The 26,741-nt window shown below is 44.0% G+C and overlaps 1 protein-coding gene across 1 annotated transcript; it reads left to right on the plus strand.

Annotated features, from left to right (window-relative positions):
- The first annotated feature begins 1,064 nt into the window (after window positions 1-1,064).
- Window positions 1,065-24,016, plus strand: TRIM58 (tripartite motif containing 58). Its single transcript, NM_015431.4, has 6 exons — window positions 1,065-1,544; window positions 4,495-4,590; window positions 8,583-8,813; window positions 11,723-11,745; window positions 11,841-11,941; window positions 19,778-24,016. The coding sequence occupies exons 1-6, from the start codon at window positions 1,125-1,127 to the stop codon at window positions 20,365-20,367; spliced, it is 1,461 nt and encodes a 486-aa protein (NP_056246.3). The 5' UTR covers window positions 1,065-1,124; the 3' UTR covers window positions 20,368-24,016.
- Window positions 24,017-26,741: the final 2,725 nt, after the last annotated feature.

Genomic DNA, 26,741 nt, shown 5'->3' on the forward strand with positions numbered 1-26,741 from the left:
ACTGGCTTTGCAACAATCCTACAACATGTGTGTATTCCTTGTAGGATCCTCATTGAACTAGGCCAGATATTTATTTAAATATTTAGAATTATTTTTGGCTGGGCTGTAAACCTATAGTTACACACACCTATGCAGGCATCTTCCCGTGTCAGGCGGTGTCTCATTTCTTTATCAAGAGGTAATTAGTGCAAGAGAAAAAAATGAAGTTTGAAAAAAACATTTAAAAATTGATTATGCCATATAAAGGGGGAAAGCCTTTTAAGAAACGATTATGGCATGAGAGGACCATGGAGTAGCTCAGTAACAATGGAAGGGGCTCGGAGGGTGGAAGGCGGGCGAGGGATGAGAGATCACCTAATGAGAACAATTTACGCTATCACAGCGATGCCTGCGCTAAAGCCTAGACTTTATGCAGTGTCTCCATGTAACAAAACTGCACTGGTACCCCAGAAATCTGCACTAAATCTATATAATGATGATGGAGGCTGGGCGCGGTGGCTCGCGCCTGTAATCCCAGCACTCTGGGAGGTCGAGGCGGGCAGATCACCTGAGGTCACGAGTTCAAGACCAGGCTGACCAAAATGGTGAAACCCCGTCTCTACTAAAAATACAAAAATTAGCCGGGCATGGTGGCGGGCGCCTGTAATCCCTGCTGCTTGCGAGGCTGAGGCAGGAGAATCGCTTGAACCCGGGAGGCGGAGGCTGCAGTGAGCCGAGATCGCGCCACCGCACTCCAGCCTGGGCGACAGAGCGAGACTCCCTCTCAAAAAAACAAAAACAAAAACAAACAAACAAAGATGGAAGGAAGGAGGGAATTTAGCAATTCTCCAGATCTACTGCCAGTGAAAATAGCATATGAGGAGGGATTCCAGTTAGAAATGCCCAGTTTCCTGGGTGTGTGTGTGACGGGGGCGGGGAACCACAACGTTAATTTTATCCCCGACATAGGGAGCGCCTGAGTGGTGGCTTTTCACCGGGTGTGGCTCGTCTGAGCTCTTGAACTGAAGCCAGCGGACACCACCCGTCGGCGCCTGCTTTCCTGGGGCGTGGGCTCCTCCCCCTGTGCAGACCGCGAGGGGAGACGGTGCGGGCGGCCGGGAGCGCAGCCCTCCGGGAGGCGGGTCATGGCCTGGGCGCCGCCCGGGGAGCGGCTGCGCGAGGATGCGCGGTGCCCGGTGTGCCTGGATTTCCTGCAGGAGCCGGTCAGCGTGGACTGCGGCCACAGCTTCTGCCTCAGGTGCATCTCCGAGTTCTGCGAGAAGTCGGACGGCGCGCAGGGCGGCGTCTACGCCTGTCCGCAGTGCCGGGGCCCCTTCCGGCCCTCGGGCTTTCGCCCCAACCGGCAGCTGGCGGGCCTGGTGGAGAGCGTGCGGCGGCTGGGGTTGGGCGCGGGGCCCGGGGCGCGGCGATGCGCGCGGCACGGCGAGGACCTGAGCCGCTTCTGCGAGGAGGACGAGGCGGCGCTGTGCTGGGTGTGCGACGCCGGCCCCGAGCACAGGACGCACCGCACGGCGCCGCTGCAGGAGGCCGCCGGCAGCTACCAGGTGAGGCGCCCCCCGGCGGGGGCTGCGGGCGCTGCGGTGACCGGGAAGCGGGCGACAGTCCGGAGCGGAGCCGCCGAGGCCACCCGTCTCCTGAGCGGCTCCCACGGCCGCTCCCCCCACCGCGCGCCGTCCCCCCCGCCCACGCGGCTCACTCAGTGTGGGTCTCTTTGCCTTGGCTGTGGTAACCCCCTTTGCGACACACACCCATTATTTTACACCGTCCGCCCCTCCCCCAAGCACTCTCCTGTCGTCGAACTCGCGCTGGGCTGGTTTCTCCCGATGCGGATAGTCTGGTCCCTCAGCTGGGCTCTGGTCGGGAGGGCTGTGTGGTCCAGTTCATTCTTGGTAACAATTGTACGTCTATATCGTAAACTTGCCATAATAATTCTCATTTGTGCAATGCTTTGCTTTTGCACAGTGTTTACATTAAATGAGTGTTGTCAGCAAAGCAACCCTCGGGTTTGGGCGTTGTTAAGAAGAGTGTCGAGCTGGGTACGGGTTCCGACCCCTCCAAAGCTCAGGTGCACGTGCCTCCTGAAGTAGGAGCGGGTGGCTCTCCATCAGCAGGGATTTGGGGACTTAGGATTCGAACATCCTCAATGAAGAGGTGCTTCATTTGGGGTGTAGCCCGGGAAGCTTCAAAGAGAAAGAAGAAAAACAAAATGGGAGTATTTGGTCCCCAGAGTGGCATCTGTGAAATTGTGTGTCGATTTCTTCCTACTGGTGCCCTTCAAAAGTTCTTGGATGTTTTCTGAACACACTTGAATCCCAGCATGTAGAACAACTGCCAGCACAGAGGAGGTCTAAGTCGTCTTTACTGACAGATTTAACCAAAGGACTGTCAGTCGCGCTGTAGTGCATTGCAAATACTTTCTTAAAATTTTTATTTATTTATTTTGTTTGTTTTAAATTAAGGTTTAGGATATTTTCCCCTTCCTTCTCTACCAATATCTCTCTTGGTATTTCTTCTTGATTTTCGTTGTCATTTGCGAGATGTAGGTACTAGTACTAGGTAATTTCTAGCTAAACTTTTCTGGAATGTTCTTGCCTTTTTAAAAAAAGTCCAGAAAGAGGATTGGTAGTAACTTTTTTTTTTTTTTTTTTTTTTTTTTGAGACGGAGTCTAGTTCTGTAGCTCAGGCTGGAGGGCAGTGGCGCAATCTCGGCTCATTGCAACCTCCGTCTCCCGGGTCCTGGTGCAAGCAATTCTCCTGCCTCAGCCTCCCGGGTAGCTGGGATTACAGGTATGCGTCACCACACCCGGCTAATTTTTGTATTTTTAGTAGAGACGGGGTTTCACTGTGTTGGCCAGGCTGGTCTTGAACTCCTGACCTTGTGATCCATCCGCCGTGGCCTCCCAAAGTGCTGGTGTTACAGGCAGCCCAGCCTCTAGTGTAATATTTCTAAAGGTGTTCTCCATATTTTCAGTAGTTCTTCGGTTAAATACCAAATAAATATTATCTAAACTCCTGAGCCTCTCAGTGAAAGCTTTCTAGGGCCCTAAGTTATGTTTCCATAGCTCTCTTGTCTTAACCAGCCAGGAAACCCAGCAAATTTAGCCGAATCACTGTTTTCCTAACTGTGCTACATCTCCTTGCTTTTGCTGACAGTTTCTTTGGCCTGAGGGAGCTTTTCTTTATCTACAAGTGTCAAAGTGCTCCGTTCTTTGTAAACACCAAAACACATGCCACTTTCCCCACTGAGTCAAATGGTATCATGAATTCTACTGTTATTTTATATATAACAATTATAATATTCTCCTTTTAAAAACAATTGATGTGTATGTAGGATTTATTGAGTAACTTTGGGAATATAATTTTTTAATTAAAATCCTGTTTATGTATGTATCTTTGTGAGTATTTAAAATACACATATTTACCTCTAGTGAGCGCCCTATCATTGAAGGAAGATTTAGTTCTCATTGTATTTTTACTCATTGCAAGGTTTACAACATACTGTGTTTTTTCATATAAAATATGATAACCTACCAAGTTCCTTCTGACCTAATAATACTACTAATACTACAATAATAAACCCATGCTTTATCATAAAGTAACCAATAACTTCAAGAAGTTGAAGTTATATAGAGAAATACAGAATACAGTTATATAGAGAAATATATAAATATAGAGAAATGTATAAATATAGTTATATAGAGAAATATATGAAATATAGAGATATAATAGCATCACTCTTCATCCAAACACCAATAGATGACATTTTATCTAATATCATTCTCATTTACATCAGCCCAGTTTTAATATATTCATTACCAGCACATTTTTTTTCAAAATTCATGTTGTTTTGTAAAATATTTTTATTCATTGGACATTATCATTGTATTTCTAGTCATTAAACATTCTGTAACATCTTATTTTAATTCTATCCAGTTAATATAATTTTTTTCTCCCCTATCTTTAATGTTTTAGTTTAGTTATGCTATCGTATATAACAATGCAGTGAGCATACTTTTAGATAAATATTTGATTGTATCTGGTATTAAAATACATTTAAGGAGCTAGGCCCAGTGGCTCATGCCTATAATCCCAGCACTTTGGAAGGCCAAGATGGGAGACTCTCTGGAGGCCAGCAGTTTGACACCAGCCTGGGCAATATAGTAAGACCCCATCTCTACAGAAAACAAAATTAGCTGAATGTAATGATGTGTGCCTGGAGTCCTAGCTGCTTGGGAGGCTGAGGTGGGAGGATCATTTGATCCCAGGAGTTTGAGGCTGCAGTGAGCCATGATCGCAACACTGCACAACCTGAGTGACAGAGCGAGACCCTGACACTAAAACTTAAGTACATTTATGTTTAGTTTTTAATGATATTGAACATTTTTATGTGCTTTCTAGGGACTGTTTAAGTTGACTTTTGTATTTCCTCACACATCTGTGTGACGTTAGGTACAGATTGAGGGCATCTGTAACAGCTGAAATGTTCCCAAACAGGTAAAGCTCCAGATGGCTCTGGAACTTATGAGGAAAGAGTTGGAGGACGCCTTGACTCAGGAGGCCAACGTGGGGAAAAAGACTGTCATTTGGAAGGTAAGACCATGTTGGGGCTTTAGGAGGCTTGCCTGTTTGAAGGATCCAGATTCGGGTCAGTAATTCTTCTACCATCTTCCATTCTCCAGCACTTTTGTTCCATCTCCATATATGCCCAAGAGCACCTCAGAGCCATCCTGGGTCATCCCGTCCCCTCAAATGATATGGTTCATTTTTGTTCTTTTTGTCTCTACTGCCATCACCCAATCCAAATTATAATTAAATAGCTTTGCTAGTTTGATCTTCCTGTAAAACCCACTGCTGTATCCCTGTCACCTAGAATAGCATCTTATACTGTTGCTACCAGTTTGAAAATATTTGTTAGGTGAATGAAATAATGAATATTTCACAACTTTGTAACAGAAGAAGTGTAGCCCAAGGTGATCATCTTATATACAGGGTAATAATCTGAACGTTTAGCCTTTTTTTTCTATCATCTATACATACACATATTCCATTTTTTTATACCTCACTAGCTCTTTTTATTCCATGTTTCATTCATGCACATGTGCGTGCACACGTGTACACACACACACAGTGATTCATACACACACAGTGATTCACATACACACACACACACAGTGATTCTCAACCTGAGGCGATACCTGCCCCCCAAGATAACATTTTGCAATTTCTGGAGATGATATTTTTGGATGTCACAACTGAGGAGGGGTGGGTGCAGTGCACCTGTCATCTAGTAGAGGCAGGAATGCAGCTTAACACCCTGTAGTCCACAGGACAGTTCCCATATCTTGTGAGGAAAAAATGATCTGTTCAAGATGTCAGTAGTGTCAAGATTGAGAAACTACGTATAGAAACTGTGTGTATAGTTCTATATATTCATATAATGTATTATATAATATGATATATAATAGGTTATACTTTGCAGAATATTCCTATTCTTTCTCCTTTTCCAAATAACCCTTCTTTTCTGATCACTCTATATATTTATAATTATTTCCTTCTTGTTTTCTTTGAAAATTTAGTCTTATACTCTGTCTTTATACAGATATTACATAAAGACTTTTTAAACTATATTTTTCTTTATTTACTACATTACTAGATTACAATATAGATATATACGGATAGGAAAAGATAACACTTATCCCAGAAGAAACATGTACATTAAGGCCAGGCGTGGTGGCTCACACCTGTAATCTCAGCACTTTGGGAAGCCGAAGCAGGTGGATCACCTGAGGTCAGGAGTTCGAGACCAGCCTGACCAACACGGAGAAACCCCGTCTCTACTAAAAATACAAAAAAAAATTAGCCAGGCGTGGTGGCACATGCCTATAATCCCAGCTACTCGGGAGGCTGAGGCAGGAGAATTGCTTGAACCTAGGAGGCAGAGGTTGTGGTGAGCTGAGATCGTGCCATTGCACTCCAGCCTGGGCAACAAGAGTGAAACTCTGTCTCAGACAAAAAAAGGAAAAAAGAAAAGAAAAATGTACATTATAGGTAAATGATGTAGATAGTGATAGGAAAGGATAAAAGTTATCAATATTAAATAATATTGATGTTAATAACATTAGTACCTAACGTTACTCAGATGTGTGAAGAAATATTTAAACTTATTAACGTTGATACTGACAAACTTATCAATATTATTAACAAATATCTTTAAACTAGTAGTGACAGTATAAGATGCAATTCTAGGTGATAGGGATATAGCAGTGGGTTCTGCAGTAAGATCAAGCTAGTAAAGCATAGTTTCGATTGGGTAGTGGCAATGGAGATAAAAAGAACAAGAACAAAGCTTTACAGTATTAAATAATGTTCATTACTTGCCTATAATGTACATAGTGGTAGGATGTACATTATTTAATATTGTAATATTGATTGATAATTTTTGTTCTTTTCAGGCTGAAATACAAGTCAGTTGTTTTCAATCCTGGCCTGACCATAGATCTATAAAATCAGAATCCCCATATCGGAGAGCTGAGTTCCTGCATGTTTTAAGCCCTCTACAGATTATTCTTAAGTAGGGATGATACTAAGATCCCTGTTCTAAGCCAAGTAAACTTGCATGATCATTACCATCAAGAATGTCTCCATGTGAGCCAAATGCAGCAAACACATCTTTGGTCAAAAGTTATTCTAAATACTGCAAAACCACCTTTCCTTTTTCTCTGTCTGCAGATATAGTTGTGCTCAAGAGGGTGGTGTGAAAGGAAGATGGATTGCAGGCAAATCGCTTCCCACCTTCCCACCTCACACCCCCTCGTGCCCCAGGTATGACTCTACCCTTCTCCAGTGGCTGCGTTATTTGCCCCACCCCACGACAGCACAGCCTCTGATATGAAGAGAGCTTCTCATATTTACATGAGTTACACTTTCAGGAATCAGTGTATGGAATTCAGACTTGGCTGATTTCAGAAAGAAGATGAAGTTTTCTGAATCTGGTGATTTAGAAAATGGTGGAAGGAGGTAGAGATGGAAAATGGAAGGAAGTAGTTAAGTCTTAGGGGATGTTTAGTTTAAAAAGGTGATAGCTCATGCCTTTTAGTCAAAGCAAGAAGTTATCACGTTTAAAAACAGGCAAATAGGCTGGGCACAGTGGCTCACGCCTGTAATCCCAGCACTTTGGGAGGCCGATGCGGGCCGATCGTGAGGTCAGGAGTTTGAGACCAGCCTGACCAATACGGTGAAACCCTGTCTCTACTAAAAATACAAAAATTAGCTGGGCATGGTGCTGCGTGCCTGTAATCCCACTTACTCGGGAGGCTGAGACAGGAGAATCACTTGAACCCAGGAGGAGGAGGTTGTAGTGAGCCGAGATCGCGCCACTGCACTCTAGCCTGGGTGACAGAGCGAGACTCTGTCTCAAAAAAAAGATTAAAAAAAAAACCAGGCAAATGACTTCACCTACAAGGCCGTATAACAATGTAACAAAACTGCATTTGTACCCCATGAATATATACAAAAAATAAAATAAATCGATAAAACAGGACAGAGAATGGGAGGTATAGATACTTTGAGGGAATAATTTACCTCTCGTACTCAGCTTAAAGTTAGTTTTCGATATACTTATCTTGAGAGAAGAAAATCTAGAAACTAAGCCTGGGACGAAGTATGTTCCTTAGGTCTATTCAGAAACTGAAGACGTGAGATTCAGGTAGAAATTGGGATTAATTCTCTGACGTGAACTCTGAAATCAGTGGCCTGAGCATCACTTAGTTCTTTCTTGGCTTTGTAGAGAATGTTAGGCTTATGGTTGTGTTCACTATTACCATATTATGAAACAGCATTCATATTTTCTCATCTCTCAGCCTTTTCTTATTCAAACAAACATTTCTTCATCATTCAGTTGTTTCTAGTGGTTCTAGCGACTGATCTAGTAGTAAATAGTAACTTCTGCTGTGTGACTGCTCTATGCTAATCACTGTTCTTGTAGTTTAATAGATATTTAGCTGTAATCCACATACTCCTCTTTTTCCCCACATTTTTTAAGAGATGGAGTCTTGCTCTGTTACCCAGGCTGAAGTGCAGTGGTGCAATCACAGCTTACTGCAGCCTCGAGCTCTTAGACAAGTGATCCTCCCACCTCAGCCTTGTGGGTAGCTGGGACTACAGGGCTTACCACCATGCCTGGTCGGTTCATTTTAATTTTTTTAGAGATGGGGTCGCATTTTGCTTTGTTACCCAGGCTGGTCTTGAACTCCTGACCTCAAGCACTCCTCTTGCCTCGACCTCCCCAAAACCTCACATTTTGTATATGGTACTGAAACTTCAGTATAAAAGTGCCTTGCCCCCAAGCCTGTGGCAAAATGGGAACTCCAGTCCAACAGTATTTTTTAAACTTAATTTGAAAACTCTCCTGGGCTACTTCTTATATGAATGGACTCCAGTCTGTGCATGTTGTTAGGATGCAACCAGTGAGTCCACAGAGTTACGGAGCCCGGGGAAGTCTGGACATTACCTTCTCCAGCACTGTCCTGTACATGGCTGCTGGAGGCCAAGCACTGACGATGTGATCCACGGTGTCACCTCAGGAGAAAGTGGAAATGCAGAGGCAGCGCTTCAGATTGGAGTTTGAGAAGCATCGTGGCTTTCTGGCCCAGGAGGAGCAACGGCAGCTGAGGCGGCTGGAGGCGGAGGAGCGAGCGACGCTGCAGAGACTGCGGGAGAGCAAGAGCCGGCTGGTCCAGCAGAGCAAGGCCCTGAAGGAGCTGGCGGATGAGCTGCAGGAGAGGTGCCAGCGCCCGGCCCTGGGTCTGCTGGAGGTGAGGCCGGGTGCCAGAAAAGCAGGCAGATGTGAGACTCAGGTGACAGAGACTAGTACAATGGCTTTCAGAGACAAACACTTTGGCGTTTATGTTCTTTAGGAAAAGGGCACCCTCAAATTTACTCAGAAGGCAGCTTAAACACCCTAGAATTTACTCAGAAGCCATTCCTGGCATCAGAATCATGAGATTCTAGAGAATCATATAGTTTGAGTCTGGCATGGTGGCACATGCCTGTAGTCCCAGTTATTAGGGAGGCTGAGACAGGAGGATCGCTTGGGCCAAGGAAATCGAGACCTTCCTGGGCAACATAGCAAGACCCTGTCTCAAAAAACAAACAAACAGCATATAGTTTGTTTTAAGGACTAAAGAATTCTTAAAATTAATGATTTCTGAAAACTTAAACAGCTAGGGAAAGGACAAGCTACACTCTGCTGGCTGAGAAGTAATTCCTAAAACCTCAGAGTCAGTTTGTCCATGATAGCATTGCTGTTTTTTAGGGATGGCTAGCACAGAAAGTCTGCATAATACATTTCAGTGTCACTGGCCAGAAGGATGAATAATGATTTAAATTGTCCAGCTTGAAATTGTTATATTGGATTGTAAAGCAAACACTGATTTCCTGGCCCACATTGCATGCCCGTTCCAGGCATGGCGAGGAGGGATTACGTGGACTCCCGTGCAGCTTCCTCCCAGTCTGTTTGGGATTAGAGAGCAGAAAGACGAGTAAGAGTGAAAGGAAATCTTTGTTTTTAATCCTCTGTGAGGCATCATATCCCAAGTGAACAGGGAAAGCCAAAGTTGTTGATAGATCCATGTTTTCTTGGTAGAACCAATGGCAACAGAAATTTATCTGGACCGACTCCTATCTCCTCCCCAGTGACTCACGCAGGGGATTCTAAACTAAGTGATGCATGTTCTCATTTAAAAGCTGACCCACGGATTCCACCTTTTCTGACTCAGTTCTAGGCACTGAAAGTACCATGAATATAAATAATCCTATTAACTGTCTGTATAATATTTGCAAGTACAATGACTAAACAGGACTGATTATGAGGCAGGGGACCATTAGATGAATTTATAAAGCCATTTAATTTGTCTCATTTTATCTTATATATATTAAATTTATATTTTATTATTATTGCTATGTTCATTTCCTTGTTAGCAAACTAAGAGTCAGAAAGGAATTAATTTTCCAAATAGCAGAGAGCAAAATACAAGAACTTTGACGGTTTCTTTTCTTTTGTTTTTTTGAGACAGAGTCTCGCTCTGTTGCCCAGGCTGAGTGCAGGGTGCAGTGGTGTGATCTTGGCTCACTGCAACCTCTGTCTCCTTGGCTCAAGCGATTCTCCTGCCTCAGCCTCCTGAGTAGCTGGGATTACAGGCATGTGCCACCGCACCTGGCTAATTTTTTTTTTTGCGTTTTTACTAGAGATGGGGTTTTGCCATGTTGGCCAGGCTGGTCTTGAACTCCTAACCTTAGGTGATCCGCCCACTTTGGCCTCCCAAAGTGTTGGGATTAAAGGCGTGAGCCCCTGTGCCCGGCTTGACAATTTCAACAATAGTATTTATTGCTCTGCCTGCCTTGGCCTCCCAGAGTGCTGGGATTGTAGGCATGAGCCACCCCGCCTGGCATGGGAGGATATATTCTTAAATAAGGTATCTTATCTATCTATTTTTCTAAAAGGGCAGGATCTCACTCTGTCACTCACGCTGGAGTGCAGTGGCTCAATCATAGCTCACTGCAGCCTCAGTCTCCTAGGATCAGGTGATCCTTGTGCCTCAGCCTCCCGAGTAGCTGGGACTAAAGGTGTGCACCACCACGCCCAGCTAATTTAAAACAAATTTTTAGTAGAGATGAGGCTTGGTTGTGTTGCCCAGGCTGTATATTTTTATACTTTCCTTTCCCTTTCTTCCCTGGTACTAATAAGCTACATTTTACCCCTGAAGGCCAAGACCAAGGCCTGACATTCCCATACAGGGTAAAGCAAATTATTCCCCTGCTTTTATGTCATTAAAACTTATCTGACTGGCAACTGTTTTTAAGGGGAGAGGGGAAATGTATCCCAAATACAATTATTAATATAATAAATGTATCACAGATATATTTATTTAATAATCTACTTTGAGAAAATAATGTTACTAGTTATTAAAGGCTTCCTTTATTAATCTATTTAGATAACCTCCTCATAGGAATAGCTCTGGTACGTTGGTTCAGAGAATTAGGAATTTATAATTCCTATAAAGATATTTAGGGAAACATTTTGTGTCTTTATTTGAGGAACCTATCCATGCCCCTCAAATAAATTCTATGAGTACTTAGGATCTATTTTATCCTGTTCCGTCTGAATTACATGCAGAATGTTACTCTGTTACAATATCCAAGTAGCAGAATTATTAATTCAGAAGATAATTAAATTGATAGGTGTTGCAGGAATTAACCTAAACTTTGTATAGCTTTAAAGAAAAGAGATTTGTCTGAGTGTGGTGACTCACGCCTGTAATCCCAGCACTTTGGGAGGCTGAGGTGGGTGGATCACCTGAGGTCAGGAGTTCGAGACCAGCCTGGCCAACATGGTGAAACCCCATCTCTACTGAAAATACAAAAAAATAAAAAAAATTAGCCAGGCGTGGTGGCGGGAGCCTGTAATCCCAGCTACTTGGGAGGCTGAGGCAGGGAGGTGGAGGTCGCAGTGAGCCGAGATTGCGCCATTGCACTCCAGCAGCCTGGGCAACAAGAACGAAACTCCATCTCAAAAAAAAAATAGAAAAGAGATTTATTGTCCCCTATAATTTTATCTCAATAATGTTTTGCAGTAGTTTCTAAGGAAATTTTTATGGGGTCTTCAGTCTGACTGTGAAAAGCAGTTCAGAGTCCAACTCACACTGTGTTTTTCTTTCCTTTTCAGGGTGTGAGAGGAGTCCTGAGCAGGTATGTGTGCTTTCTGAATTGGTGAAGGGATTGGGAGAGGCAGAGGAGCTGGTGGAGAACCCTGCTGACTTCTGTGGTTTCTGTGCTCTTCCCAGAAGTAAGGCTGTCACAAGGCTGGAAGCAGAGAACATCCCCATGGAACTGAAGACAGCATGCTGCATCCCTGGGAGGAGGGAGCTCTTAAGGAAGTTCCAAGGTAGTTGCATCTTAGAGACTGGGAATTAGGCTGCCTGGGGTTTGAAGAAGTTCCAAGGTAGTTGCATCTTAGAGACTGGGAATGAGGCTGCCTGGGGTTTGCCTCGTATTGTGGTTTGTCACTATGCCAGTCAGCTGCAGTGACCAACAGAACCTAAAGTCTTAGTGGCCCAGATCAGCAGAAATTTATTTTGAGAGTGTGCTGTTGGTTTGTTCCTAGGTGTGGGGACTTCTGTGCCACATCTTCTCACTCTGGTACCCATACTGACAGAGCTCTACCTCCCTCTTGGTGCTGGGAGCCATAGAAAAGGGCAGGGTTATTGAAGAGATGGGGGAAGAAGTTCTCTTCCAGAGTCAATACAACACATCACTTCTGGTCACCAAAATGTGTGGGGATTTCTCTCCGCAAACAGCCAATCAGTTCTCCAGCAGATACTCCAGCCAGATGTCCTTCCATGCAATTTGATTTTGACACTATCTATCTGGAGATAGCACCAGGTTCCCCGGGTTGAGGGCTTTGTCCCACAAGACTGACCCCACTTCAGATGCTGGTCACAAGCACAGGTTGTGGTCTGTGATTCTGACCAACTGACTGTAAACTGGGGTTCCCACAACCCTCTTCTTGAGTTCACTTAATTTCCTGAAACAGCTGACAAAACTTAGGGACACATATTTACTCATTTATTATAAGGGCGTTACAGAGGCTAGAGATGAACAGATGGAAGAGATTCTTAGGGCGAGGTTTGTGAGAAGGGGTACGGAGCTTCCACGCCCTTTCTAGGCCTGCTACCTTTGGAACCTCCGTGTGTTCAGTGATCTGGAAGTCCTCAGGACTCAGTTCTTTTTTTTGTGTGTGTGATGAAGTCTTACTCTGTCGCCCAGGCTGGAGTGCAGTGGCGCCATCTCAGCTCACTGCAACCTCCACCTCCCATGTTCGAGCGATTCTCCTGCCTCAGCCTCCCGAGTAGCTGGGATTACAGGCACATGCCACCATGCCTGGCTAATTTTTATATTTTTAGTAGAGACGGGGTCTCACCATGTTAGCCAGGCTGGTCTCGAACTCCTGACCTCAAATGATCTGCCTGCCTCGGCCTCCTAAAGTGCTGAGATGACAGGCGTGAGCCACTGTGCCTGGCCAATGAACTCAGTTATTTTGGGTTTTTATGGAAGCACTATGTAGACGTGATTGATTAGATCATAGGCCATTGGTTTACCAACCCACCCTTAAGCCCCTCTCCCTCTTCAGAGGTGGGGGGGGGTGAGGCGTGAAGGACTGAAAGTTTCAAGCCTCTAATCACATGGTTGGTTCCCCTGGCAACCACACCCAGTGGGAGGCTTTCTGGGTAATCACCAACCACAATTCATCTTATTAGCTTACAAAAGACACTCTTGTATTTCTGGAAATTTCAAGGATTTTAAGAACTGTATGTCAGTAAACAGGATATAGACCAAATACACACTTCACAGTATCATAGGCATGGTGAATGTAGACCAAATATATACTTCCCAGTGTCATAGGTATGGTGCCTCCTGCACTGTAGACCAAATACGTACTTCACAGTATCATAGGCATGGTGACTCATGCACTCCTCTTAAAGGTACCCATGCTGAATTAGAGCATCTGGCCTTCCTGAGATTTCATGGCTAAGTCAAACTATCAAGGAGACAGTGTAGGGGGCAAGGGAAAACTTTCCCCTTTCCCTATGAATGTTTGCTGAAAATCAACTGACCAAAGACAAATAGGAACAAAGGCATAGAAAAAGTCTAACATTCATAGCACAGTGGAATCGCAGGAGAGTAATGACCCAATAACGCAGTGGGATACAGATGCTTATATACCTTTCTTTATTGGAGGAAAGGGAGATGGGGAGGTGTGGATGATTTTAGGGAGATAGTAAATGATTTTTTGGAGGATTCATTGGGCTTGGAGTGCATACAGTGGCTTGGGACAAAGTGTTGAAAAGTAGACAGTGGTTTGTGACTAAAGTCTGTCCAGGTGTATTGATAGACTTGTCTGTCTTCCTGCAATATGAGCTAAATTAATTAAAATGCAGGGACTTCAGGCAGATAAATGAGTGTTAGAATAAAGCTTCTTACAGTGTGTGATGGTCTCCAAGGGCCTTTAATTTAAAATAATGGGCATACCAGGGTGCCATATTTTAGGGTAAAATTCCCTGGTCTCCTTCCGTGGGAGAGTGCACCATGCCCAGAAAAATTAGGATTGGTATATTCATGAGCAGTATCAGAGTCACGGCCACCCATAGAGCCTGCACCACCATGCCCAGAAGAACGAGGATTAGTATATTCATGAGCAGTATCAGAGTCACGGCCACCCATAGAGCCTGCACCACCACGCCCAGAAGAACGAGGATTAGTATATTCATGAGCAGTATCAGAGTCACGGCCACCCATAGAGCCTGCACCACCACACCCAGAAGAACGAGGATTAGTATATTCATGAGCAGTATCAGAGTCACGGCCACCCATAGAGCCTGCACCACCACGCCCAGAAGAACGAGGATTAGTATATTCATGAGCAGTATCAGAGTCACGGCCACCCATAGAGCCTGCACCACCACGCCCAGAAGAACGAGGATTAGTATATTCATGAGCAGTATCAGAGTCACGGCCACCCGTAGAGCCTGCACCACCACGCCCAGAAGAACGAGGATTAGTATATTCATGAGCAGTATCAGAGTCACGGCCACCCGTAGAGCCTGCACCACCACGCCCAGAAGAACGAGGATTAGTATATTCATGAGCAGTATCAGAGTCATGGCCACCCATAGAGCCTGCACCACCACGCCCAGAAGAACGAGGATTAGTATATTCATGAGCCGTATCAGAGTCACGGCCACCCATAGAGCCTGCACCACCACGCCCAGAAGAACGAGGATTAGTATATTCATGAGCCGTATCAGAGTCACGGCCACCCATAGAGCCTGCACCACCACGCCCAGAAGAACGAGGATTAGTATATTCATGAGCAGTATCAGAGTCACGGCCACCCATAGAGTCTACATTTGGTTAGACTATGGGCTTAAAACTGTAGGTCATCTCTTATTAGCTGATATGAGTAACGTTACTTCCAGTAAATTTACATTTCCTTGCTTATAAAATGCTAAAAATAAATTGCTTGGAGGACAAAATGAAACATTTGAAAGCACCCCACCTCCTAAAAGTAATCAATATGAAAGCACTGCAAAGTTATCAATTAGCAAGAAGTTTGGTTTAATTTATTGGCTGAGAATTTGATGAGTTGCTTGAATTAGTGAGTCAATAAAGCCAAAAATATTGTCAGTTATTTTCATGTAGGAATAAGCAGTGTCACAAAAAATTAGTGTGTTTAGTCTGATTGTATTATTCTTTAAAACAGTATAGATTCAGTATTGTTTACAATTTCATTTTAAAATCTAATTTATCCCAAGTAATGAAAACTATGTCTAAATAGTGACTTCACTACTTAGAGGGAAAGAGTGTAAAGTCCCTTAATGAGAAAACCCATCTCTGCAGCATAGTACCCACGTTCTCCTGGGTAGATGAATGTATGCTAAATGCCCAACTTGATTAAAATCGTCATGGCACCCTCAGACTCAGCAACCTCATATCCATATTTGTTTTTATGGAATGAAATCATTCAAAATGTGTGATTAATTTTATCTCACCCATTCTTTTAAACATTGGAATATATCATTCAACAACAACAACAAAATACTCTACAATCCGTAGCTTTGTGTTGCAGATATGTACTTCACCAAAATACACAGGCTGTAAGTGGCTGACACAGAATATTGAAGAAAATCAAAAAGAGTATGCAAAGGGTAATGAGAAGTTCTAGTTTTGAATAAGGTGACCAGGAAAGACCCCGCCCTGCAGGGGATAACCCAGCAAATATATGATCTGGAAGAAAGCATTCAGGCAGCAGAAATGAGCGCCAAGGCCTGACGTGGAGGATGGCAGGTGTGTTCCAGGAGCTGTGAGGATGTCAGTGTGAGGACTCTGTGGCAGAGTAAATGACAGGAGGGTCGGAGAGACCAAGAAAGGGCTAGATAGGCAGGCCATGCTGAGCATGATACTTTATCCCTGAGCGAAATAGGACATAGTTGAAAGTTGTACCTAGAAAAATAGTTTGATTGGACTAATGTTTTATGAGGATCACTCTATATGCTTTCTTGTAAGTAAATTACAGAGAGGAGAAGATTGACATGGGAAAAGCAGTTAAGGGTCTTTGCAGTAATTTGATGAGAGATGATTATGTGTTGGAATAGATGTTATTACGGAAGGTGCCGCAAGATGGACAGATTTTTGTTATATACTGAAGGCAGAGCTGTTAAGATTTGCTGTTGGATTATATATGATGTGCTATAAACAGGAAGAGCCATGAATGATTCCAAGGTTTTGGATCTTGCGAACTGGCAAAATGTGATTGCCACTTATATTGATGAGGAAAGCGACAGTTGAAGCAGAAGAAGGGCACAGGGTTTTGGATATGTGGATGTTGCGATGAGTGCTAAATATTCAAATGTTGCTATCAAGTGGGCAGATGAATGTACAATAGGGAGTTTCAGGGTAAAGTTCAAAGCTAAGCACATGCATTGGGAATCAGTCAGCATATGAATGGAATTTTATCAAAGCAATGAACCAGCCAGCACCCGGGTAGATAGGGAGTGAGGTGAGAGAGAGAGAAGAAGTCCAAGTCTTGGGACTATAGGTTTCTCCAGTGGTGGTGGTGGAGGAGAAGAGAACAGCAAAGAGGATCAAGGAGTAGTGAGCAGTGAGGGAAGGGAAACATGGATGAGTGTTACCTTTGGAAAAGGGAGATTTTCCAGCACAAGTAGATTCTCAGTGTTGAGAGATACAGAAAAATCATTGAAGATGAACTCTGGGCCGGGCGCGGTGGCTCACGCCTGTAAATCCCTGCACTTTGGGAGGCCGAGGCGGGCAGATCACCTGAGGTCAGGAGTTCGAGACCAGCCTGATCAACCTGAGGAAACCTTGTCTCTACTAAAAATACAAAATTAGCCAGGCGTGGTGGTGCATGCCTGTAATCCCAGCTACTCGGGAGGCTGAGGCAGGAGAATCACTTGAACCCGGGAGATGGGGGTTGCAGTAAGCCAAGATCATGCCATTGAACTCCAGCCTGGGCAACAAGAGCAAAACTCCATCTTAAAAAAAAGACAAACTGACAAGTAACCATTCATCAACACGGAGGTCCCTGGGAAGATGGACATGCGCAGTTTGGTTGGGGTATGGTCACATCATGATGAAGAATTGAGTTTAGGAGAGAAGGGGTAGGGAGAGGAATGGGATACAGACCATATCAAAAGCCATTTCACAGATCTCTTTTGTTAGAAATGAAGCAGACCACTGTGCCGGAAGAGGAATGGCTTGGGAATACATGACCTGTTAGATTGTGTTAAATGCACAATCCATGGAGACCTACCTTTCAATCTCTGTTATTTACCTCTAGAGTTTGGGAAGACCACATAAACTCTTTGACTCTGAATCTACTCTTGTGTAATGTAGGGATGACAATGGTGACCCTCAGGGTGGTTACATAATAAAAATAATGCAATGCGCAGTTACGTGACCACTCAGGTTGGGTATCAATAAAAATTCACTAGACCGGGCGTGGCAGCTCACGCCTGTAATCCCAACATTTTGGGAGGCTGAGGCGGATGGATTGCTTGAACCCAGGAGTTCGAGACCAGCCTGGGCAACATGGCAAAACCCCTTCTCTACAAAAAAATACAGAAAACTAGCTGGGCATGGTGGTGTGTGCCTTCCCAGCTACTCAGAGGGCTGAGGTCAGGGGATGGCTTGAGTCTGAGAGGTGGAGGCTGCAGTGAGCTGTGATTGCACCACTGCACTCCAGACTGGGCAACAGAGCGAGACTCCGTTTCAAAAAAAAAAGTAGTTCACTGTAAGTGTTTAAAGGCAAATAAGTATAGTGGTAGTGGTAGTAGCAGTAGCAGTAGCAGTAGCAGTAGAAACAGTATTTGTTCTGATATTAAAAATCAAACTATATTAACATGTTAGTCTGATTTTGCATTGCTATAAAGAAATACCTGAGGCTGGGTAATTTATTAATATAAGGAAATATGCTTTATTTTGGCTCATGGTTCTGTAGGCTGTACAGGAGTCATGGTGCTGGCACCTGTTTCTGGTGAGGCCTCAGGACACCTACAGTCATGGTGGAAAGCAAAGGAGGAGCCAGCGTATCACATGGCAAGAGGGAAGCAGTGAAGTGGGGAGGCCCCAGGTTCCTCTTAAACGACCAGCTCTTGCATGAACGGATAAAGAACTCACTTATCACCAGTGGGATGGCACTAAGTCATTCATGGGGGATCTGCACCCATGATCCAGCACCCCCCACTAGGCCCCACCTTCAACATTGGGAATCACATTTCAACATGAGACCGGGAGGCGATACACATCCAAACCATATTATTTATTAACTTACTACTTATAAGCAATGCTAATAAGGAAATGCACTGAATATTTTACATCCCCCCTTCACTGAGGTTTCATATCTAGATGTATTTATTTATTATGTATATGGGTCAAATGTCTCATCAATCTCACTGGGACTTCAGAGTATCAGTATTTTTTATTGTTATATAACGCATAACTACAAGCTTATGTGCTTAAAGCCATACCATTTAGTAGCTCATGGTTCTGAAGACCAGACATCCAAGTGGGATCAGCTGGCTCCTCTGCTTAGGTTTTCTCAAGGCCCAAATATGGGTGTTGGCCAGGCCAGGCCAGGCTTCTGTGTAGGTCGGGGGAAGAACCTTACCTCCAACCTTATTCAGGTTGTTGGCATAATACAATTCTGTGCAAATGCGGTACTGAGATTCCTGTTTTCTTGCTGGCTGTTGGTTGGGGGCTATTCTCAGCTCTGGAGATCACTCTCAGCTCTAGAGGTCACTCGTTTGTCTCTTCATGTGACCTTTCCATTTTCAAAGCCAGCAAAGAGATATCAAATCCACATCTTATTGACCTTTCCTGCTGCCACCAACCCAATAGCCAGAGAAAACTTTCTGATTTTACAGGACTTGTGGGATTTGATTAGACGCACCTTGATAATCTCTCTCTTGTCATATAGTGTAACATACTCATGAGGCTAACACCAGGGTGTGAAGGTCATGGGGTCCATCTTAGAATTCCGCCTACCACAGTAATATAACTTTGGAAGTAGTGGATTTAATATTAATAAAATTCTATAGATTTTTAAGAAAAAAATTCCTAAGGGGTTTATAAATTTTATGTTAAATGCAGAAGATCCTCCTAAGTGCACTCAAATGCTTTGGATGTAAGCCAGACATGGTGGTGTGCACCTGTAGTCCCAGCTGCTGGGGAGGCAGACACGGGAGGATTGCTTGAGTCCAGGAGTTTGAGGCTGTAGTGTACCACGGCTATGCCCATGAATAGCTCTGCACTCCAGCCTGGGCAACATAGCAAGACCCCGTCTCTCTGTCTCTCTCTCTCTCTCTCACGCACACACACACACACAAATGCTTTAGATGTAAATGAAAGGAAACTAAATGATAATTCACTTGGTTTGTCGTCATCAATAGTTGTTTTTTTTTGGGAAAGTTAAAGAGTTCTGGGTTACGCAGAGGTAACAGTGGAATATACCAGAAAGTTATAAAGAATAAGAATAATAAAGTAATAAAGAAGATTTCACCTGTAAGGTGAAATACTGATTTGTTTTCTCTAGGAGTTAATAGAGAGAGAAAAGTGAGGAACTGTGGGACTATTCTTTTCAGTGGTTTCCTAAGTTTCTACCAGTCCTTTCTTTCCTTTCACCTGGTCCACCACATTCTTTCCGCAGTGGATGTAAAGCTGGATCCCGCCACGGCGCACCCGAGTCTGCTCTTGACCGCCGACCTGCGCAGTGTGCAGGATGGAGAACCATGGAGGGATGTCCCCAACAACCCTGAGCGATTTGACACATGGCCCTGCATCCTGGGTTTGCAGAGCTTCTCATCAGGGAGGCATTACTGGGAGGTTCTGGTGGGAGAAGGAGCAGAGTGGGGTTTAGGGGTCTGTCAAGACACACTGCCAAGAAAGGGGGAAACCACGCCATCTCCTGAGAATGGGGTCTGGGCCCTGTGGCTGCTGAAAGGGAATGAGTACATGGTCCTTGCCTCCCCATCAGTGCCTCTTCTCCAACTGGAAAGTCCTCGCTGCATTGGGATTTTCTTGGACTATGAAGCCGGTGAAATTTCATTCTACAATGTCACAGATGGATCTTATATCTACACATTCAACCAACTCTTCTCTGGTCTTCTTCGGCCTTACTTTTTCATCTGTGATGCAACTCCTCTTATCTTGCCACCCACAACAATAGCAGGGTCAGGAAATTGGGCATCCAGGGATCATTTAGATCCTGCTTCTGATGTAAGAGATGATCATCTCTAAAATTCTGTTCCCAAGATGCAGTCCTAGCGTAGCGAACGTTCCTGGAGTGGGGTGAAGGATATCAATATACTAAGTTTTAACAGATACCCCATTTAGGTCAGCACTTGATTCGTTGTTGCTGTGAAATATGTCCATGGGACAAAAGAGGGAATATGAAATATTTGCATATGGGAAGATTATAGAGCATAATAATTTTGTAAATGGAGCAATCTCAACCTCTATTTCTAGATCACATTTTCTTGATGTCTTCCTTCAAATTAATGACCTTGGATTACATAAGGATTTCTATGCATTCATTATAATTTGTTATTCCTTTCAATATCCTTGTATTTCAAATCTTCCATATAAGAATTAGACATGGCAATTCTTAAATTGATTCAGAATGGTCTGATACTATTCCAGTATCACCTCCTTAATTCTGTTTCTCCTCGTTTTCCTGATTTTCCTTCTCATTCTCTCCTTCCCCGCTCTGTCTCTCTCTCCCTGTCACTCTCTCTCTCTTGTTCCTTATTTTTTGTTTCTTACCTCTTACTGTTTAACCTGTTGCTTCCTTCTGGATTAATACATTTAGAGCCATTCCTTTATATGGTCACATTTCCTATGACTTTACTCAATTACTTTTAAAATCCTTTCTATTCTGAGACTAATTTTTAAGAATTACAAAGCTCATTCTTCTGAATCTAATATCACTAACTCCTAGACTTTTTCCGTTTTCTTTGGATACACTTTAAGTAGGAATTTATCAGAATTTTCATTCAACTCGTTCTTTAATGCAGATATTTACTAGTTATAAGACCTTAAGGCTGGGTGCAGTGGCTCACGCCTGTAATCCCAGCACTTTGGGAGGCTGAGGCGGGTGGATCACAAGCTCAGGAGTTCAAGACCAGCCTGGCCAACATGGTGAAACCCTGTCTCTACTAAAAAAAAAAAAAAAATAGAAAAATTAGCTGGGCATGGTGGCAGGAGCCTGTAATCCCAGCTATTCTGGAGGTGGAGACAGGAGAATTGCTTGAACCCTGGAGGCGGAGGTTGCAGTGAGCCAATATCTCACCACTGTACTCCAGCCCAGTGCGAGACTCCATCTCAAAAAAGAAAAAAGACCTCAAACAACACTTCTCTCTCTCTTTTAGCTGCTTGTTATGGTTCCTATACATGGAACAATTATACTGGCCTCACTGTGTTATGGTAAATATTTAAGGTCATATTTGATATTGCTGGTTTGAATTCAGCTTTTCCATTTAAATACATTATAATGATGATGATGAAATCATGATAATATTTAACTTATTTTTAAAGTATATTCTGTACCTTTCCAACAAAAAGGTTAAAAGTCATTGAAGGCTAACCTTACTGCCTTCTTTGTATCACTGTCTTCTAAATAATTATTATGTCTGGGTACAGTGGCTCACGCCTGTAATCCCAGCACTTTGGGAGGCCGAGGTGGGCAGATCACGAGGTCAGGAGATTGAGACCATCCTGGCTAACACAGTGAAACCCCGTCTCTACTAAAAATACAAAAAGAAATTAGCTGGGCGTGGTGGTGGGTGCCTGTTGTCCCAGCTACTTGGGAGGCTGAGGCAGGAGAATGGCATGAACCCAGGAGGCAGAGCTTGTAGTGAGCCGAGATCGCGCCACTGCACTCCAGCCGGGGCAACAGAGCAAGACTCCATCTCAAAAATAAATAAATAAATAAATAAATAAATAAATAAATAAATAAATATTACACAAATGCTAAAATGTTTAAATGGTAAATGCTTCAATGCTAACCAAATATTAATTAATGGCAAATTATTTAACATTATCTGATAATAATCTGCAGAAGGTTTAATTTTCCTCCTCAATTTGAAGTTCAAGATGTTTTTCTCTTCCAGGGAGATTTTTTCGACTGACATCTTTAACTTACCTTCCAATCATATTACTAACGTAGCCTTCTTCCTAGATTTTTTAATTGTTTGATCATGAGCGAACACTTCTACTCTCTGTGATAGATTTGCAAACAGAGGAAATAACGCATCCTCGTGTCCCTCTTCTTGGTGTTCCACAGGCCATGTGTGCCCTAGCCCTCGTTCATGCAAGGTCTGTGTAGGGAAGGTGGACTTCAGCTCAGCAACAGCATCCCTTCCCACAGGGATCAGGTGGGTGGCTTGAGATACCCCTTCCATGGGGCACCACCCATTCAGTGAGACGGGGAAGCCCTGGGTGGGAGGGAGAACACCTCCACATGTCTTCTACTCTCTCCATAGGATGGAATGAGTGTCCCAGTCCCAGGAGTATCCATTTCCCACTGTGTAGCCCAGTACTCTGGTCTCACTGTCTCTGCTGAATCCTGTCTCACTGTGCATATTATTGTGGTTTATATCAGTCAGTAAACCAATGTGAGTCTTCATCTCTTGCATTCTTAGGTTCATAGTTTTGTGTGTCTCCTGTAATGACTCTTCTCTTTCCCTTTCCAACTCCTGAAAGATTGCCACTATTTCCTCTGGAACTTTGTTTCGTTACCAGCAAAATCCTCGACATCCATACCCGTTTCCTGGCTTTCCCTCTCCTTTCCTCTGAATGGTAGTCTTTTATATTCAGCTGTCCACTTGACATCAAAATAGACATTTTGAACTCAATTTGCCTAAAACTTACCCACAAATTTCTCCCCAAGTCTCTCCCTAACTGCAACAACAAAAACCACAGGCTTCTCCCTGTCACTGGATGGCAACTCCATTCTTTTGATTGCTTAAGCCAGGCATCCGATTGAGTACTTTCTTGATTTCTCCAGCCCACATCCAGTCCATCGGCAAGCCCTGTTGGTCCTACCTTCAGAATATGTCCGGGGTTCAGTTGTCCTGGCCACCCTGCTGCTGTAACCATGGTCAGAACTCCATCCTGCCCCTCTGGATTATGACTTTCGTTTCCTCACAGTGGTCCTGCTTGGGCTCTAGGCCCTTCCACTCCCATTCTCTCTACAGCAGCTGGGCTGATTCCTTTAGCACCCAAGGATATGTTGGCATCACAGTGACTTAGATACCATCACAAAGACCTCCCATTCAACTTAGAGTGAAAGTCAGAATCCTCACAGTGAATCCCCAGGCCCTAGAGGATGTGAACCCCCAGGCCCTAGAGGATCTGAACCCCCATCCCTCCTCTGATTATCTCTCCCACCCCCACTTCCCTTTGCATTCTGCTCCAGCTGCCCTGGCCTCATGGCTGGGTTTCCACCAAAGCAGGCACTTCCCATCACAGGGCCATTTCCCCGCCTGTGGCTTCTGCTTGACATTCCCTTTTCCCTGATATCCCCTTGACTCATTATTCCCTTTCTTCCTTAACTCTTCTGAGATCCAGCTTCTCAGTGATACCACACAGCCCTACTCCCCCCAGAGCCCATCTAGAGCTCACCTTTCCAGTCGCCCTTGCCAGGCTCAGTGGAGGCTCTTTGTTCCCCATACAGTACGTGTCGTCGTACTATATTGTTAGGCTTATTTAATTTATGTATGTTTTGCCTTTTTGTGCTAAATGTAAACACCACAAGGGGAGGTATCTTTGTCTGTTGACAATGATACATTCAATGTTTCTCAAGCACCCCCAATGCTGGTTTGTATGTGGTTATCATTCAATCTGTATTTGTTGAATGAATAAATGATTGACTATGTGGAGAGCAAAATTGATGGACCTGAAAATGTTTTGCAAAATGTAATATAGTCTACTGATACAATATTTATTATTATTGGCCAATAATGTTTAATGCCAAGTGCTAAATTAGTAAAATTTTGGGGATATAGAGAAAAATTGAGCAGAAGTCTTAAGTTTGTAAACATAATGGATTTTGTGACCTGATAACTTGGCATGTCCAGGCCTAGTCCCATTGAGCCCCCTGTGGTTTTGATTCCCTGTGACATCACAGTGACACCTTTGAATTATGCTTTGTCTCATACTCCATAAGCCACCTCTCAAAATGGTATCATCACTAAAAATATGGGGAACTTTCTATAAACTTACATAGACTACAACCTTTAAAAAAAAAAATTGATGTTAATGTTTTATGTTGCCTTTCTTCACCTAAACGATATGGTGCATCCACGCCATCCAGAAATGGAGTGTCTTGGGTCTGCTGTCCTTCCCGTCGCTTCCCTGTTACTGTGCATTTCTGTTATATACATTTGGCATTTTTTCTATCTCAAATCATAATTTTTTTTCTTTCTGACATATCCTTAAGGACTGCTCTGACAGTTACCAGTGAAATTCTTTCGTTCTCTATAAAAATTTGAACATCAACTCTGGTAGAGCACAGTGGCTCATGCCTGTAATCCCAACACTTGGGGAGACTGCGGTGGGAGGATTGCTCGAGACCAGAAGTTTGAGACCAGCTGGGCAACAAAGCAAGACCTGGTTCCTACAAAAAAAATACAAATTAGCCAGATATGGTGGTGCAAACCTGTAGTCCCAGCCACTTGGAAGGCTGAGGCGGGAAGATGGCTTGAGCCCAGGATTTCAAGTCTGCAGTGAGCCAGGATCACGCCACTGCACTCTGGCCTGAGTGACAGAGTGAGACCCTCTCCCTTAAAAAATAGAAAACTAAAAGAGAAAGTCAATCCCCAACATGAGCTTCTAGCCTTTTCTAAGCTATAACCCTCCAGAACTATGTCTACATATCCAGAAGTGTGGATAATTTATTCAAAGAAGTAATTTGCTTAATACCCCCCGATATGGTTTGGCTTTGTGCCCCCACCCAAATCTCATGCTCAGTTATAATCCCCAGTGTTGGAGGTGGGCCTGGTGGGAGGTGATTGGATCATGGGGGCAGTTTCTCATGGTCTAACACCATCCCCCTTGGATAAGTTGTGAAATCTGGTTGTTTAAAAGTGTGTGGCTCTGCAACTTTCTCTTGCCCCTGCTCTTGCCACGCAAGACACCAGTTCCTGCTTTGCCTTCTGCCATGAGTAAAAGCTCCCTGAGGCCTCCTGGAAGCAGATGCTGCCTTGCTTCCTGCACGGCCTGTGGAACCGTGAGCCAACTAAACCTGTTTTCTTCATAAGTTTTCCAGTTTCAGATATTTATAGCAGTGTGAGAACAGGCCAACATACCCTCATGACCCCTTCTCCAAATCAGGTGACTGGTTTATCAATTTACTAAGCTTTTTTTTTTTGAGATGGAGTCTCACTCTGTCACTCAGGCTGGAGTACAGTGGCATGATCTTGGCTCACTGTAAGCTTTGCCTCCCGGGTTCAAGTGATTCTCCTGCCTCAGCCTCCTGAGTAGCTGGGACTACAGGCGCCCGCCACCACACCCAGCTAATTTTTGTGTTTTTAGTAGAGACGGGGTTTCGCCATGTTGGCCAGGCTAGTGGTCTTGAACTCCTGACCTCAGGTGATCCGCCTGCCTCAGCCTCCCAAAGTGCTGGGATTACAGGTGTGGGCCACTGCACCCGGCCTTAGACTAATTTTTCTAGCATGTTGAGAAGGCCCTGAGTGAAGAGGACTGGGAGGAGGGGATACAGGGAGCAATCAGGAGTGGGAAGTGAAATAACCTCTTTAGCCAGCAAAAGTAATGGAAAGCACTTAGAGTGGTGATTGCAACCCCTAGAACCCCAGAACGCAGAGAATTGGGAACACTGGGATCTGTTCAACCTGTCTGCCCTCCAAGCACTGACTCCTTGGTACTTGCTTTCTCTGTGCTGCTGGGGCCCCCTGTGGTCTGCTTTTCTATCACACAGGGAGGAAGAAAGGACGTCAGGGCCTGCGTATGTGTACCACACATATTCTATGAATTCTACACCATGTAGAATAGTCTCTTTACTCTCTAATTCTCTGACTACATCTACCCAAAAGTACCCAGTCATATTGATAAGTTTCTTAGTTAATTGACTCTAAGTCTGATTTTTTTTCTGACATTGCTTGGCTATTTCTGTATATTTATTTTCTTTAAAAAATTCAGCATTGCGATGTCATTTTTGCCTTTATAAGAGCATTGAAAACATAGTTACATATACATACCTAAGTCATGATACTTGCTCAATTTCCTTATCAGTTTTTGAAACTATAAACCTATGTATGCTAACATCTTCCTTTCAAACCAAAAAGTAAAAATAAGGCTGGGCGCAGTGGCTCACACCTGTAATCCCAGCACTTTGGGAGGCCAACGGGCGTGGATCACCTGAGGTCAGGGGTTCAAGACCAGCCTGGCCAACATGGTAAAACCTCATCTCTACTAAAAATACAAAAATTAGCCAGGCGTGATGGCGGGTGCCTATAATCCCAGGTACTAGGGAGGCTGAGGCAGGAGAATTGCTTGAACCTGGGGGGATGGAGGTTGCAAGTCACAGTGAGCAGAGATTGCACCACTTCACTCCAGCCTGGGCAAAAGAGCAAAACTCCGTCTCAAAATAAATA

The sequence above is a fragment of the Homo sapiens genome, chromosome 1 (genome assembly GCF_000001405.40).
Source record: "Homo sapiens chromosome 1, GRCh38.p14 Primary Assembly".
NCBI classification, from domain to species: domain Eukaryota; kingdom Metazoa; phylum Chordata; class Mammalia; order Primates; family Hominidae; genus Homo; species Homo sapiens.